The sequence below is a fragment of the Homo sapiens genome, chromosome 10 (assembly GCF_000001405.40).
Source record: "Homo sapiens chromosome 10, GRCh38.p14 Primary Assembly".
NCBI lineage: Eukaryota > Metazoa > Chordata > Mammalia > Primates > Hominidae > Homo > Homo sapiens.
Genome location: NC_000010.11, coordinates 60,905,245 through 60,923,132, shown reverse-complemented (window position 1 = coordinate 60,923,132; position 17,888 = coordinate 60,905,245). Strand labels below are relative to the sequence as shown.

The 17,888-nt window shown below is 41.7% G+C and overlaps 1 protein-coding gene and 1 pseudogene across 55 annotated transcripts in view; both read left to right on the top strand.

The window, feature by feature from the left end:
* The window catches only part of RHOBTB1 (Rho related BTB domain containing 1), a 141,108-nt gene that overhangs the window by 78,835 nt on the left and 44,385 nt on the right, over positions 1-17,888 (top strand). For 54 of the 55 annotated variants that reach the window (XR_007062022.1, XR_007062020.1, XR_007062021.1 and 51 more), the window contains 2 exons: positions 11,581-11,782; positions 12,143-12,246. Coding sequence is in view for 46 of the 55 variants with exons in the window: in XM_047426080.1 (XP_047282036.1) it covers positions 11,591-11,782; positions 12,143-12,246 (296 nt within the window). In the remaining 9 variants the exon portion in view is untranslated. The remainder of the gene's footprint in view (positions 1-11,580; positions 11,783-12,142; positions 12,247-17,888) is intronic. The other variant, NM_001350910.2, reaches the window with a different exon arrangement.
* RNU2-72P (RNA, U2 small nuclear 72, pseudogene) lies at positions 10,206-10,368 on the top strand (annotated as a pseudogene).

Genomic DNA, 17,888 nt, shown 5'->3' with positions numbered 1-17,888 from the left:
AAAGGCCAAGGATTGAAGTATATTCCAAATACTTGGATAACCATAGGCTCTGTGAAAGATCAAGGTAGGGCTCTATGATAGCATCCCAGGAAGTCACCCAGTTCCAGAGCAGACAAGCAAAGCTACTCAATATAATGTGAGTTGAGAGAACCTTTGAGGGTGAATTAAGGACAACAGTGAGGAATGTGACCATGGAAGTTATACTAATGTTCAGTCTTAAGAGGCAGCACCCCCTCACCTGACTCCTTCTTGGATTAACCCCAGAAGATCAATCAGTTCTATCATAGGGTCAAAACTGAAAGGGTCTGGTTGAGTGGGCTGGAGGAAGCAAAAGCAGAACAGAGAGAATCTTTTTCCATACTTTGTTCTCTCTACCTGGTCCATCCTCAGCAAGGGATGGTCAGCAAGCTCACTCCATGCTGATAGCAGCAGGCTGGTTTCCTATTGGAGCCACTGGGAAACCTTCTTCCTCCACCCTTCTCTCTTCACCTTGGTCCCAAGTCAGTGTGGCTCTCATTACTCCAGATTATGGGCATCTGTGGTGAAGAATGTCTCCCTACTTCCTGGGCCAATTCTTTTCCCCGTGGACATGGCAGTCTGCTGGTCATCAGTGGTGTTATCATTTGGCTCCATGGAAGTGAATTTGGCGGAAATCCTTCCAGTTTCTGGTATGTGGTTACTTTTCACCCTTAGTTTCTGGTACTGTTGTAGAGGCTCCATACAGACTAAGGCTACTTGCAATGAGATGATGGTAAAGGAGGGTTCAAGGCATCAGTGCCTTCATTGCCATCTTGCCTTGAAGTGCAGCTAATTGCATTTTGTGGTGTGGCTCTTTTGGGCATAGAGTGAACTCGTTTATTCAAGACTCACTTTCATATTAGTTATAAATCATTATCCATATGTAATGGGTACGTGTGCCTCCCTTTTTTCCTTTCTTTTCCAGCGAAGTAGTGACTCACCAAAAAGCGCTGAGAATCCCTTGAATTAGGATGTTTAAGTCTAAAAGTGGATGAGAACTTTATGAGACCCTTATATATAAATATTATTAACATTTATAAATCGGCTCTAGAAACTAGAACAAAATAAACAAGCACTCATTTGTTTTTCTAAATCCAATCCAATCCTATGCCCCTCCTGCCTGCAATTACTGGGGCTCTCCTCCCCACCACCACCTTCCCATTTGGTGAAAGGGTGTGGCCTTTGGTCTCTGGTGGCTCCCATGGTTACTGATGCACTTCCTGTTAGGGAGCAATGGTTGGTGCAATGCCATCTGTCAAACACTGCTCTTGTGATGGGCCACACAGATGTCCCTCAAGGTGTTTCTCTCACCAACTGCAGGCTTAGCCACACGCTGCTGCTTTCAAGGCCACAGGGCTTAATGATCAGTCACCAGAGATAGCTGCATGCAAGTTCTCTGCCAGCCCCAGGTGGAAGGTTTTCTAAGAAAGGTGGAGTGGCTGTATTTTTATATTCAATTCAACAAACGTTTATTGAAAGCTGCCTATAGGCCAGGCACTGTGACAAGATTTGAGGATTTAAAGATGAATAACAATTTCTGTTGCCAAAAATTTATAATCTCAGTGGGGTGGAAGTGGAATGCATATAAACATAATAATCAGTATTACAAATCAGAATTTGATAAACCCTCTTAAAGACAGTGTAAAGGAAGGATGTTTGCAGTGTGTCTTCTTCCAGAATGTAACTTGAATCTGTACTTGGCCGCATCTCTGCTGATTCTGCCTGTCAGAGGCACCATCCTTTCTCTCCTGGAGAACTTAGGGCTTCCTCACCATTCCTCTGCCATTGCACCCCTGCCCTCATGACATGTTCTCTGTACATACAGCAGTCTCAGTGATATTGGGGATTCCTTTAAAGAGCAAATCAGGATCAGGCATGGTGGCTCATGCTGGTAATCCCAGCACTTTGGGAGGCCAAGGAAGGAGGATCACCTGAGATCAAGAGTTCAAGACCAGCATGGCCAACATGGTGAAACTCCATCTCTACAAAAATACAAAAATTAGCCAGGCATGATGGTGGGTGCCAGTAATCCCAGCTACTCAGGAGGCTGAGGCAGAGAATCACTTGAACCCAGGAGGCAGAGGTCGCAGTGAGCTATCATGTGATTGCACTCCAGCTTGGGCAACAAGGCGAGACACTGTCTCATAAAAAAAAAAAAACAAAAAAAAAACAAATCAGTCCTGTAATCCCAGCATTTTGGGAGGCCAAGGTGGGAGGATCGCTTGAGCTCAGGAGTTCAAGACCACCCTGGATAGCAAAGTGAGACCCCCATCTTTACCAAAAATACAAAAAATTAGCCGGGCATGGTGGCACATGCCTGTAGTCCCAGCTACTCAAGAGGCTGAGGTGAGAGGATGGCCTGAGCCGAGAGGTGGAGGTAGGGGTTGCAGTGAGCCGAGATTGTGCCACTGCACTCTAGCCTGGGTGACAGAGCAAGCTTTGACTCAAAACAAAACAAAACAAAACAAAACAAAACTTAAAAAAAAAAAAAAAGCAAATCAGAACCTACCACACTTCTGCTTAAACACTGCAGTGGCTTTTCACTGCATTTAGAATAAGATCCAAACTCCTGACTATGGCCTGAAAGGCTGAGTATGATCTATCCCCACCTACCTTTCTAACCTTCCGGCTTCCCCACTTCCTATCCCTCGGGCTCTTCAGGCCTGTTTCCTCTCCCATCTCTTGAACGGGCCCTTCTCATTCTCCAGATGGCAGGAATGAGGCCTCTTCAGACAGGTCACCCAGTCTGCCCTTCAGGCTTCCCATCCATTATTTTTTCTCGACATCCTTTGGTTTTTTTCAAGGACCCCCCAAATTTGTGATGATGTATTTGTCTACCTGTTTACTTGTTTCTTTCCACCTGACTGTGAACCACCGCTGGCTTGCTTTTCACTGTACACCTATAGGCCTGGCACTCATTCAGTGCTTAGCATGTAATTTTTAAATTAAGACTGCCTTAGTGAGAAAATTTCAGCAGGTGAGTTAAGGGCACGAGGAAAGGGCCTTTGTGCAGAAGTAATGACATAGGCAAATTGTCAAAGGAGAGGTTCCCTGGTGTATTTGTAGAAGAAAGTAGACCCATGTGTCTGAACCCAGCACACAGTTCACTTATGGTGGTTTTGAAATCTGCCCTGGAATTTTCATGCATCTTTTAAATTTTTGGTTTATTTTTTCAAGAAATAAATGAAGTCTTTATTTTTTCAATGAGGGCAATGTTTATTAAGAACAGCACATAAGGTAGAAAAGAAGGTTGGTTTCTAATCTTGGTTCATCTCCCCCACTGATCTTGAGTTTTAAAAGCATAGAGAGCACGATCTTCTGTGGGTCTCCACTGTCAGAGAGCCCTGGTGAGAATCATGAGCGGATGTAGTAAAAAGTGCTTCTTTCATATCAGCAGGTGGTTCTGTAGTATTTGCATCCATAGACTTCTATGCAGCATCCTTTCTGTTACTTACTCTTTTCTTTTTTAATCAAAACAGTCCATTGAAAAAATAATGTTGATTACAACAATGAATTCTGTTGATTTAAATGGTGGAAGGCAATGTTATCCTGGAGATATAATTCTGTGAAGTTTTGATTCAGGGAAGTCCAGCCCAGCCCTTGCATCTCTTTCCCGGCTCTGGGTCTATTCTTTATTCCAGCTGAGATGTTTATTTTATGTATGAAACAGCTCCCACCTACCTACAACTGCTGATTAAAAGCTCAGAATAATGAAATCTGCACAATCGAAACTTGGCTGTTGGCTATAGTTATTATGCAACTTTTAACATTTTCCTTTTTTCCTGTCAATAATATAAAATTGTCAGTTTTTTATTTCAGGGCTAACTCTTTGAATACACTAAAATTTGTTGCACTAGTATTTTTTAATGGCTGAGCTAAATTACTTCTTAAAGTTCAGATTATATGCTTTTGGGAGGAATAAGAAAATGTAGTGTCCGTGCAATAGCATCATTCAGACTGTCTGTGAACAGCTAAATGGAGATAAGACTACAAAGGTCCCTCCATGGGCCTTCAATTTTTGTCTTTAAGCAGACTGCTCACCATGCCTTGATAGAAATAGCAAATATAGGGCCAGGCATGTTGGCTCATGCCTGTAATCGCAGCACTTTGGGAGGCCGAGGTGGGTGAATCACCTGAGGTCAGGAGTTTGAGACCAGCCTGATCAACATGGAGAAACCCCATCTCTACTAAAAATAAAAAAGTAGCCAGGCCTGATGGCAGATGCCTATAATCCCAGCTACTCGGGAGGCTGAGTCAGGAGAATTGCTTGAACCCAGGAGGTGGAGGTTTGTGGTGAGCCAAGATTGCGCTATTGCACTCCAGCCTGGCAACAAGAGTGAAACTCCATCTCAAAAAAAAAAAAGAAAAAGAAAAGAAAAGAAATGCAAATATAACAAGAGACATAGTGTAAGTGATAAGATGCAGCATATTCCAATGGCGGGATGATTCACAGCAATTAGGAGACCCCTAGTGGGGTTTCTTAGACAAGTGATAACTCTCTTCCTACCCACTCATCTTAATTTCTGAATTTCTAATGTTAGAGGAGTCTTGCACGCTTGCCTGAAATCAATTAGTGGCCCTACACTGAAGTGCGCCTGTCTGAGCAAACAAGTACATCAGCCACAGTGCCCTGAGTTATTGAGTTATGGGGGCAGAACTCCAGAGGTCTTCTAGGTGTCTTGTGAGTGAGGGAGTGGGCATGCGCAGAACTTCCTGGGAGTCTCTTTCATAAGAGAGGGACAGAACACCATGAAGGTCATCAAGGCAAAGACTGAAGGTTGGGTTGGGGTACCACCAAAGGAAGGGAAATGATTTGAAGAGGAGACCAGGCTAACTAAGGTCACATTTGGCTCTGTCCCTATTTTTCCAATGGGTTGCCCTCAGAGAGAGTCACCATTAAATTAGGGGACCTTTGGACCAGAGGGGTAGTCAAGAAAGGCTTTGCAGAAAAGGGGTGTTGTATAAGCATATATTCCCAGCACTGTAGCAAATAGCTATGCCCCACAAACACTTGATGATTCGTTCAGTGTATGAAATGGGCACTTTGAAGGTATAACCACACACACATGCACACAGATTCACAAGCTACCATTCCATGATTTGTTAATATAAGAAAAAAATGTGTGTATGGATGCGTGTACATTTGTTTTTGTTTGTAATTGCTTCTGCTAGAACTCTTTATTGATACAGAGAAAAAAGTAAATTAGTTTATGAGGTGGAGGGTTAGTTAGGAAATCTTTCCAGGGGAGGTGATGTCTGAGTAAGGTTTTAAGGAATGACTAGAATTTGCAAGACAGACAAGGAATGGAGGAGGGTTGGTAAGAAGGAGTGGCGTGTGTATAGGCACAGAGATAGTGCTACAGGGTGAATGTCTGCCCCCTCCCCCAATTCATATGTTGAAGCCCTAACCCCCAATGTGATTGTATTAAGAGGCGGGCTGTTGGAGAGGTAATTAGGTTTGGATAAAGCCATGAGGGTGGAGCCCCATGATGAGATTAGTGCCCTTTTAGGAAGAGGAAGAGACACCAGAGCTTTGTGTCTCTGCCTGTCATGTGAGGACACCACAAGAAGACAGCTGCCTACAAGCCAGGAAGAGAGCCCTCACCAGAACCTAGCCACACCAGCACCCTGCTGTCAGACTTCCAGCCTCCAGAACTGTGAGAAATGAATTTCTGTTGGCTAAGCCACCTAGTCTATGGTATTTTGTTATGGCAGCTGAAGCTGACTAAGGGGGTAGTTAGAAAAGCTTTTTAGAGGATAGTTAGGAAAGCTTTTGTGACAGAGCTGCCACAGTAGGATATCTGAATAAGGTTTTAAAGAATGAATAGAATTTGCCAGGCAGACAAGGAATGGAGGAGAGTTGGCAAGAAGGAAAGGTGTATATAAAGGTAACAAACAACATTTAGAATTTGAGAAAGCCATTTTGTGTGGCTAAAGTGTGCTACGTTAGTTTCTTATTGCTGCTGTAACAAACGTCAAAACTTAGTAGCATAAAACAAAGTTTATTTTCTTATAGTTCTGAAAATCAAAGGTCTGACATGGGTCTCACTGAGCTTGAAGTGTTGGCAGGCTGTGTTACTTTGGGGGCCTTAGGGGAGAATCTGTTGCCTTACCTCTTCTAGCTTCTGTGGGTCACATACATTACCTGGCTTGCAGCCCCTTCCTTCATCTTCAAAGCCAGCAGTATAGCAACTTCATATTTCTCTCTGACTCTGACTTCCTGCCTACCTCTTCCGCATTTAAAGGACCATCGTGATTGCGTTGCACCCACATAGATAGTCCAGGATAATCTGCTTATATTAAGGTCGGCTGACTAACAACCTTAATTCCATCTGCAACCCTATTCCCTCATGCCACACAATGGAACATATTCACAAGTTCCGCGGATTCCGTGGACGTATTCAGGGAGGCTATTATTCTGCATACCACATATGCAATGCAAGAAATTGAGGGCGACTGTAAAGAGAAAAGTTGGCATGACCCATCATCCCTAGGTGGAAAAGATCATCCATTCAAAAGGGACCTATCATCTGACATTTAAAAATAAATAGAGGAGTGAAGGTACTGGAGATTTCCCTAAGGTATTAATGGGTATGTTTCTGTTGACTATTGGTTCATAAACCCAAAACTTGGTGGCTTAAAACAGTAATGATTTATGATTTCTCATGATTCTGAGGGTTGGCTGGTGATTCCACTGCTGGTTTCACCTGGGCTCATTCATAAACTACATTCAGCTGTAGGATTGGCTGAGCTGGAAGGTCCAAGATGGCTTTGCATTATCCAGCACTTGGTGACAGCCATTGGCAGGGCTGCCTCAGCGGTTTTCAATGTGAATTCTCATCCCTGCTGGGCTAGGCCACTTTCCTCACATGGCGGATTTGTGGCAGCATTCCAACAGGAAGAAGGTGGAACTGCAGGGCCTCTGGAGACCTAGACTCTAGACCTCACACAGCATCACCTCCACCACATTCTTTTGGGCGAAGCAGTCAGAAGCTTAGCATTAATTCAAGAGGAAGGGAAATAGATTTCACCTCCTGATGGGAGTTGCTGCCGTGGCCTTATTTCATCCAGCACAGGCTGTAAAGGTAGGAGTTTTTTTTCTGAGAGTGGAATTTTGAAATTTGAGATTTCAGAGGCAAAATGTTTCTGGATGACAACAATATCCAGCACGTGTCCAAAAGGATGGATGGCTCAAGTAAAATGTGGTAAAGATCACTGGCACTGAAGGAGAGAAGAAATGGTGAGACTAGGATGTGGGCTGCACCATCCTGTAGGCCCAAGAACGCTGTGTGGGCAGGGAGTGTGGAGGAGTGGCTTGAAGTCCAGGAGATGACAGCAATAATAGCGGGCAGGTATAGGATGATCAGACCAGATGGGGTGATTCTGTAGACCATGAAGAGCATGATCACGCTTTTCTAGGTCAGCCTTGTGAGTGGTGGGGACCAGAACCACTCCACCATGCCCTTCACTTCCCCACCTGCACTGTCTTGTTTATTTAACAATTTTTCAAATAAGCTTGTCCCTTCTGACTTCTGAATACTGTGCAAGTGGATTCATCGGGTACTGGTGAAAATATGAAATAACGTTCAAGTCAGTTTTGAGTAAGATGACAGAGCTGCCATAGTAGCAGATTACCAGTGTCCATTCTTTCAGGCTTTTCTTTTTTTTTTCTTTCTACCTTCCTTGTCTCCTCAGGTATGTATCTAAGTATGAGAGGGTCTCCACATCGATCAGCAGGATTTATAGTGATGACATTTATTAATAGTGTTAAATGAATAATACTTATTACTCTCATTCTACGTAAATAAAAATCAGAAACCAGACAGTCATTATCCAGATGGTCCTAAGAGTACACTCAACCATCAGAATGCTAGATATGAATAAATTAGAGCCTATAACAAGCGGAGAAGGATAAAATTGCATATTTTTATAATTACTACCATAATTTAATGTTTCTTTATGTGTAACAAATGAACAAATGATTTACAACAATGCAACTGTAGCATGAGTTTCCATCCTTGGCTGTGATTTCACATTCTTAAAATGCTTTTTAGAGAACCACAAGAGAAATTTCTACTCCAAATAAAAGATTTTCAGTATTTGGGAATTCAGTGAATGCTTCCTGGAAATTCCACATCTGGAGCAAGTGATCTGGGCCCTGAATATTTAACTCTGCCCTGCCTTTTATTTTCCCTTACATATTATCCCTTTTGCACAAGGGTCAGCACCTTTGGCAGTCACTTTGGTCTGGAGCGGACTGCTAGGGATTAGAGGACCCATAGATGTTATTCTCACCTTTGACACAGAAATTCTTCTTAGGACTACTCATGAAATGTGTCTAAAAATAAGTGAAGCAATGATAGTTTTTGTAATCATAGCCTTAATACAAAACTAGAAGGGCTCCTGTTACTCTCAAAGTAATCTTCAGTGAAAGCGACACAGCCATTCCGTCAGTGCTGCTATGATTCAGCTTATTTGGGGGATTCCTTCTTGGGGGCTGCTATCAGGGCTAGTTTGCAAGCCTACCAGAAAACTAATTCTGCATTATTAGTGTCCCATTCTCCATTTTTACTAAGTCTAAACATTCTCCCAAATTTTAGGGATTGGCTCTATATGACATTTATCTATCAAAAATAAATAAATAAAAAAAATTCACCCTTAAAAGAGTAAGGTTTCCCACCACTGAGGACATTTAAAGTAATGAACCTCCATTTCCAAAGTTGGGAGACTCCAACTAGAACCTGTGTTTCTGATTCAGGCTACTACCCCATGCTAATGTAACCAGAAACTTGTCGAAGAGGGTTAGGTATTACTATTTTTATTCTGGAATTGAGAAATGCCTCAGACAAGCATTTTTAACCCATCTTTCCAACTCTATTATCTTCTCATTAACTGTGACCTCCTCCCTGCCCCCTCCACACCCAAAACTTTTTCTGTCTTCTTTGCTTAAGATCAGCTACACCACATCTTGTTTCTGTATTCTTTAATTTTCAGTGAGTTACTGCTTGGTTAATTCTTCCAAGTTGTATCCTTTTTATAGATCTTTGTCATTATTAGGTTTATGAGTTTGCATCTAATTCTGGCCTTCCTCCTGACTCAATTTTGTTGTCATCTGAAGACATTCGTCTTCAGCATCATGATTATAATTTTTGAAACCATCAGTGTGTCAGTTACGGCACTGAGGACTTAATTCATCAGTTCACGTAATCCTCACAACAACCTTAGGAGATGAGTATTTTTATGATACCCACTTAACAGATGAGGAGACTGAGGCTCAGAAAGTACAAACAACTTGCCCAAAGTCCAATGACTGGAAAATGGGGGAGCTAGGATTCAAACTCACATCCTTCTAAGGCAGGGTTTCACAACCTCAGCCCTGTAACATTTGGGGCTGGGTAATTCTTTGTTGTGGGGTGTTGTCTTGTGCATAGCAGCAGTGTCTCTGATCTTCTACCCACTAGAAGCAGAACTCCCTCCTCAACCCCCCACCAAGTGACAACCAGACACGTTTCCAGACACTGCAGTGTTCCCTGGGATTTGTTTAGGACCTACCAATCTAACACCAAATTCATGCTTTTGCTATGTTATACTGTTAGATGGGTAACTAAGAAAACCATAGAAGTTTAAAACTGAATTTTCAAGAAATCAATTTTAGGAGTCACCATGCCTGGCCGATCATCAGAATTGGAGATTTTTAAAGACTCTTTTTCCCCACCCAGGATGTTCAGGATAAGTATGTGTCAGGTGGACAGGTATCTGACTGTTTTGAGCCTCTCCACAGTGTAGGAATTACAGATCTAATCCTAACCTAAGCACATATCTGTTCCTTGAATCACTCTACTCCATTCCTGCCAAATCGTTCTCCAGCCTCAGCTTTAACACCTCCTGTGATGGCGTTACAGTCGACAGTTCCATACCCTTCACTTCTGAGACAGTCCATGTTCCAATAGTCCTAACTGTGAAAAAGAATTCTTCTTAATATTCTTTCTATATATCCTTGTCAATGCCCTTAATCTCATTATCCAAGTTATCATTTTTCTCAATCAGATGAATTAAACAAACACTTGAGTCCCAATTATGTATTAGGCTTTACTCTGAACAGTTTCTTTACCATAGCCATTAAAATCATTACTGACTCCTTAAAAATGACCGCCCACCCACTTTTCTCAGTTTAACAATGGACTTCCATTGCTTGTCAGCCTTTTGGCTAAGATCAAGTGTAGCATCTGTTCTTATTAGTTTAACAATAGACTCCCTCAAAAAGGCAATTACAATTAATTAAAATCTTAAAATCATACATGGCTGGCCTCCTGTCCAGCTGCTACTGGTAAGCAGCCTGCACCCCTGTTTGTGGAGGGTCCTGTCCCTGGGGAGACCAAGCTGGCAGGTGCTTTTTTTCTTCCTCTTGGCCTCTCATCAGCAGCCCTGTTTAAACCTTCTTGGATGGTCTCAGGAAGATTCCAAAGTAACTCTCCTGGTAAAATTATTCTTTGCCATATGTTCCAGATTTCTTGATGAAAACACAGAAGATAATTTTTTTGAATCTTGCTTTATTGTGGGCCCTCAAGAATATCTTTTTTAAGGCTAGGCATGGTGGCTCATGCCTATAATTCCAGCACTTTGGGAGGCCAAGGTGGGGAGATCACTTGAGATAAGGAGTTTGAGACCAGCTGGCCAACATGGTAAAACCCCATCTCTACTAAAAATATAAAAATTAGCCGGGCATGGTGGTGGGCACCTGTAATGCCAGCTACTCAGGAGGCTGAGCCAGGCGAATCGCTTGAACCCAGGAGGCAGAAGTTGCAGTGAGTGGAGATTGCACCACTGTGCTTGTGCTGTAGCCTGGGTGACAGCGTGAGATTCCATATACATATATATATGTGTGTGTGTATATATATACACATATATATACACACACACATATATATTTATGAATTATGAATTTGATTAATACAAATAAATATAAGTTAATTTGATTAAATTTAGACTTAGCAGTTTACTCTTCTTTGACATCAGGTAGTCTTTCAGCCTGCACTTTTGATTATTCTCTAAGTCCCCATAACAGTTTTGAACCTATAGAAAACTGCTTTTCAACAACAGATATTGGCTAATGAGCGATCTTGTGATGAAGTAGATGCTAGCATTGCCAAGGCTACCTATTGCCCAATGTTGAAGTTCAGCCCTACAGGTGACCGGACTTGCTAGCAGGCCAACGTGAGTATCCAGTAGGCTATAAATGTGTGCCAGCTGTCCCGACAGTGGCTGAATGGAGCTCCAGTAGGCAGGTTGTGTTTAGAGAAAACCAAGGAGAAAATAACAGTTAACGGGAATAAACTGTTTGGGGTCAAAATAACAGTCCCATGTTTTTGTACTTGTGTGAGATATAAAAAGAAAACTTGAGTGTCAATTAGGCTTAGTACGAACTTCCAAACATTCTTTCCTGTGCTTGTGCACCTCCAAGGAAGTGGCTGGACGAAGGCAAAACTCCCTGAACCTCTTACGTCTTTGATTGCTCTGGAAAGCCTTGGTGTCCTTACTGTGGTGTTCACTCTCTTCTTACAGAGTTTCATAAATGGACGCTGACATGGACTACGAAAGACCCAACGTTGAAACTATCAAATGTGTGGTCGTGGGTGACAATGCCGTGGGGAAGACGCGCTTGATCTGTGCCAGGGCGTGCAACACCACACTCACGCAGTATCAGCTGCTGGCCACCCACGTGCCAACAGTGTGGGCGATTGACCAGTACCGCGTGTGCCAGGAGGTAAGATGCACAGAGTGTCTTCAGCATCCCTAGGGCACATCATTGCTGGTTGCCAGTCTGATTTTTTCTAAAGGAGGAGCGTGGATAAATTACACATTCAAAACAAAACTAACCTTTTTAGTGCCACGAGAGAAAACAAAAGCAAAATGCAAACCGGAGACTGTGGCTCTGGTATCCTGAATGAGGGTTGAGACAGATGATTCCAGGAAGGGAATTAAGACTTAGCTTAAATCCCGTCAGATAGAATAAGGAAACTTAATGCAAGTGAATTGATGGCACTGAGGGTGCTGACTTGAACACGCTTCTCCTGGGGAACTTCTGACTGACACCGAGCACAGATGCTCTCTCTCTCTCCTGCAGGTCTTGGAGCGTTCTCGGGATGTTGTTGATGAAGTGAGTGTTTCTCTCAGGCTTTGGGATACTTTTGGTGATCATCACAAAGACAGACGCTTTGCATATGGCAGGTAAACCAAGACTAGTACAGCGTGGTTGAGCTTGAATGCAATTTCCTTTTCAAAACCAGCAGCGGGTTTACAAATCAACAAAAACCACATCATATGGCCTTGAAATGTGCTGGGTTCTGCACTGTGTCTAAGAAAAGGAAAAGAAAAAAAAATGGTATTGTTTCCTGATGTCAAGAAAAGAAGCGTGCCCTGCCAATGAGGAAGTACTGTGTTGAAAACAACCAGTGGTCAAGCTGGAAGGTTTGCTAGATTAGGATTCTGTAACACCCTCCAACTGCGGGCTGCTTTGATTGCTGGTTCTCTGAGTAACACTTCACTTGCCTTCTGTTAGAATGTTTTAAGTTATTTTGGCACTTGGTCACCCTACTTCAGAAAGACTGTTTGGTCTTTTCATGACCATATTGGCAGAGTCTAATGTTATTTGCTTTGGATTTTGTGTTATCTGAAAAGTCTATTATTTTTATTAGAAGGTCATTTTTAAAAAGAAAGAAAAATATCTCCAAAGTCCTTCGCAAGACATATTTCCAAAATGAACAGAAACACTAACGTTTATTTTTTTAAAAAGGAGAAAAAAATCTAGTAATGGGAAAACTCCTCTAGAAGGACATTAATATGGGTAGGAACATGGTCAAAGTGCCTTAAAATATTTAGCAACCTCTCCTTGCCACCATAACTTAACGTCTCTCTCAATGAATGGGTTATAGCTGTTAAATTCTGTATTAATGGAGACTTTTTTTTTACCACTTAATTATAAATGAACACATTTCATTTTCAGTGTAGAACGTAGATATCATGGCCTTGTTGTCTCTTCTTAACATCAAACATCATATCACCTTACAGGATTTTATTAGTTAGGTACTCCAAGCACGTGAATTACTCCTTGGTATTGAGATAAGCATTTCTGAAGATTCTTCTATTTCTACAAGCCAGTAGCTCTTTGAACGGACTTTTATTGTCATTTATCTAAGTGGCCTAAAATAATGAATAAACTGCTGAAAGAGTTTGCCCTATTCCCAGGAATTATTTCACACACTGAAAGAATCTGTGACTTAGACCACTTTCTTTCAAGGGGACTCAGAGAGTTATGGAAGCAAAACACGATTTTAATGTCCCCTTGGTAACAAGGACTTTTGAACTTAGTATCCTACATCATAGATAGTTTTCTTTTCCTTGAATTTCCTGGATTTTTTTTCTTTCTATAATGTTGTTGATTGTTATCTTAGGTGCCATTTTGCTTTTTTCTTTTGTCCAATTGTTCTACATGTAAAAATAACAATTATAAATGAACCTGCTTGTAACTGCTGGGCAGTCAGGTTTGTAACACCTATGGTTTTGAGGAAGCTTGATTTGATGACTTTAGGCAGTGTAAGGATAAATACAGTAGATTTCAAAGGACTTTTTTATATCCCCACTTCTAAAACAGTGTCATGAAAATGATGAGCCTGATGATGAGTTAATGGAAATATTTGGGTTTAGAATCTAGAGACTATTTCAACAGCTCAGTGGTTTGTTGCCACTAGAAATTTATGCATTTGTCAATACCTGTGAAAAAATAACAGAAAAAAAAAGAGAAAACAACAACAATGAAATGTATTCATTTCAAACAACGAAATTTAACATGACCCCTCAGCGTAAAGCTGGTGTGGTGGTAATAAAAGGGCTGCTTCATTATCTTGTGAGATTCCTGCATAGCATTTATTTAATGGCACGATGGCCTTCATAGATCCACACTGGGCCCCGTCCAGCTCTCTGACATAGCTGGAGTCATTTTACAATACAACATGCCATACCTGCGTGTGTGTTCCCTCCCAACAAAAATAAGCTGCTCTTTCCTGTGACTCCATCGGTTCAAAGTGCATTGTTCTGCTCCCTTGTCTGTAACATTTGGTTCTGTCAACTGTAACCCATTATCCCTTTGATAGAAACAGGAAGTGCTCCCCCAAGCCAAGTTTGATTCTCTGAGCAACATTGAGGGGCTTCAGGAACACTCCTGTGTTTCTGGCCACGTTCTCCTTAGGGCCTTGCTTTGTGTGCATGTTTGTACCTTGTATTTCCTCTGCCTTTTCCAATTCCTCACAGCCTCCAGGCGTCCTGACACAGACCCCACCTCTAGTTAAAGAATAAAAACCAGAGCTCCTCTCTCTTGCACTCCAGCATCTTTCTGTAAATGCTAAATATGTAATATCACATTGACGTAATGCCAAAAAGTTACATTTTTATGGAAAAAACTGAGAGAAGTAGGAGTTTTTTAATTCACTATAGGTCCCTAACCAGTACATTTCCCGGCTCTGAGAGAGCTGTTTAATTTCTTAATGACTTCAAGTTTTACCTTTATATCATTTGTGAAGGAGAGGAATCATAATTATAGCTTTTACAAACCTTTTTTGTTTTTGCAAAACTTGTTTGGTTTGCAAACCTGTTTTGTGACTGACATTTTTACTGTACTTAGTGAGAATTACAGTTCAGTGGGATGTACTCAAGACATAAACTTTGAGGCATGTGAAATACATTCCCTATTCTTGAAAATGTATTCGAAACCTTTTTAAAATAATTAATTTGATTCTTGTGGTGACAGTGAGAGAAGCCAGATTTAAACCAACATGTTTTAGACCTTGCCTTCGGTTTCCTCTGCTTCATAGCAAAAGGTAGTTAATAAGTTGCCCCTCAAACATTCTTTGGCATGGACAAGCTCTAGTTTGCAGAGAGGATTCTGTGGGATGAGGAGTTGTCAGTGGTAGGCAGTTGGCCAACTTGAATTTGCAATGTTCCTGATGTGGTATAACCACAGTGTTATTGCTCTCTTATGATTTAAATGGAACTATTCTACCCATTCTTTTGCCAATTAGAATAAAAGCTCCAATTTTTCAAAAGCCTACTGTGTGCCAGTCAACACATTAGGTGCTTTGCCAACATTAGTTAATCCTTTCAGGAACTGTAGGAGGCAGAGATGATCTTGGTGCTACCATTGAGTAAAAGGTTGAGTTCTTTTACTACCATAAATTTGCCCAACAAGTGAGTCTCAGAGGCAGATTCAAAGCCACTCTGCCTGACTCCTGGCTCTCACTCTTTCCACTGTGCCAAGCTACCTCAACCTACTGGGACCCTACATTGGTGAGCTGGATTTCTATTTGCTCTTTTGGATTTGTGCAAAGATTGGAACTAGAAGAGATTTCAAAAGGTCATCTGGTTGACCCCATGTCTTCAGGAAGGGAAATCATCCATCTATCCAAAAAAAAGTATTGATAGGAGCCCTTCTATTCCATGGAGATGAAGGAAACAGAGTAGCATGAGTGTTGTAACGCTCTGCACTTTGAAATCTGTCAACCCTCTCTTCTCTGGGGTGAATAACTCCAGCTCTCTTATGGCCTTTTTTCCACCACCTACTTTATATCCACTTTTGGATGAACTTTTGAAGCTCTTTTCTGGATCTTTTAAAATGTCAGGAACAAAACCATACATAGTAACCATGACTTTGATCAGCTGCTCTTTTTTGGCAAGGAAAGCGCCTCTTCTTAAAGGGATGTCGCTCAACTCAAGAGTTGTCTCCTGGAGCTCTTATAAAAATGAAATGTCCACATTTAAGGACTTAGCACTGAAAATATAGGCAAACAGGATGGGCTCTGCCTTTATCAGGAATCTGGCCCTTCAGTCCCTGTATTAGTCTGTTCTTACACTGGTAATAAAGACATATTTGAGACTAGGTAATTTATAAAGAAAAAGAGGTTTAATGGACTCACAGTTCCGTGTGGCTGGGGAGGCCTGACAATCATGGCAGAAGGCAAAGGAGGAGCAAAGTCACATCTTACATGGTGGCAGGCAAGAGAGAGAGCATGTGCAGGGGAACTGCCCTTTATGAAACCACCAGATCTCATGATACTTATTCACTGTCATGAGAATAGCATGAGAAAGACCTGCTCTCAAGATTCAGTTACCTCCCACTGGGTCCCTCCCACGACATCACGACATGTGAGAATCACGGGAGCTACGATTCGAGATTTGGGTGGGGACACAGCCAAACCATATCAGTCCCTTTTGTCTAGTCACACATAGGTAAATAATTGCAGATTTTATTGTTTTTTTTTTCCCCTATAAAATTTCCTTCATTGATCTGTCTGCAGGTCAGAGAACCTTCAGACACTGAATAAAGCCTATGTTGCTGACAGTGATAACAACTACAGTTTAATCAGGGTGCCCCAGGCACCAGGCCTGTGCTACGTGCTGCATGTGTCCTGTCCTGCTTCACTCTTGTGGTGAGCCTGCAAAATAGGCTCATTTCACGGTTGGAGAAACAGGCACAAAAAAGGGCCAAGGTCAGACAGCCAGGACAGAGTGCAGCTGGACTTTCCTCTTGAATCTGTCTGACTCCAAAGCCCATATCTTCCCCATCCACCATGCTGTTGTAGTTTGTGATGATGATGGATGACAAAATTACTTGAAATTTCCTCCTGGTACATTCTGAATCTTACACAGTACTGTGTAGACCCTGAAGACCAGCACTCACCATCTATTACGAGCTCTGATATTCCAGTGTTCCTCTTAAATTCTTTATTCCACAACAAATAACTTAATTCTTTATATGCATCCATTAAGTAGCGGAGCATGAGTCCTTTTGCTTTCAGTAAAAATGATACATCCAAGCAAACCTTCTGAGAGTGAATGGGAATCTTGGCATGTTTTCCCCAAATCATTTAACAAAAACATTCAGAACCACTGTACTTGCCCTTATCCCCAGCAATTTCTGGGCTTATTTTGAGTCCAGTTAGAACCCATTTATTATCTAGTTTATTCTTAGACACTGATTTTTCTCAAATGTTGTTGGTTCCTATGAGAAGTAAAGTACATGTTTTAAATGATAACATTAATCAGAGCTATGGTTTCTGTATGTCTAGTTTCATGTTGAAGTTACCTGTAATCAGACACGAATGAACACACCCCATTCTCAATGCACAGTTGAGGCCCTTTAAAAAATTCAGGACTGTAGTGACTGGTGTTTGTATCTTTGCCTGGGATTGGTTGTGCTTGTGTTTTACGGCAAGCAAAAAAGTAAGGATCAGTGAGTGTGTCTAGATACAGCATTTTGAGTTAGCTCTTAATGTTCATAGCACATTCTAAAGCCTGGGCCAGAAATAACATTGTAATGATGATGTTAGGATGGCAAGCAGCCCGTTGCACAGTGAAACTTCAAGTGGACCAGGAGGTGGACCAGGGCCAGGACTAGGGCATACTGAGGGAGTCACTCGCTTTGGGCATAAAATGTAAATAATAATAATCTTAAAAAGACAGGATCACAATTGCTATTTTGGTTTTTTTTTCCCTTCTGCCTCAGACACAATATGGCACTGTTACTCATGCTGACTTTATTTAAAATTTTGATACTTTGTCCACCATGGATTTTTTTGCCTTAATTTGAATTTTTTTTTTTTTTTTTTTTTTTTTTGAGAAAGAGTCTCTCACTATTGCCCAGGCTGGTGTGCAGTGGCGCGATCTTGGCTTGCTGCAACCTACGTCTCCCAGGTTCAAGTGATTCTCCTGCCTCAGCCTCCCAAGTAGCTAGGATTACAGGTGCCCACCACCACACCCAGCTAATTTTTTGTATTTTTAGTAGAGCTGGGGTTTCACTATGTTGGCCAGGGTGGTCTCGA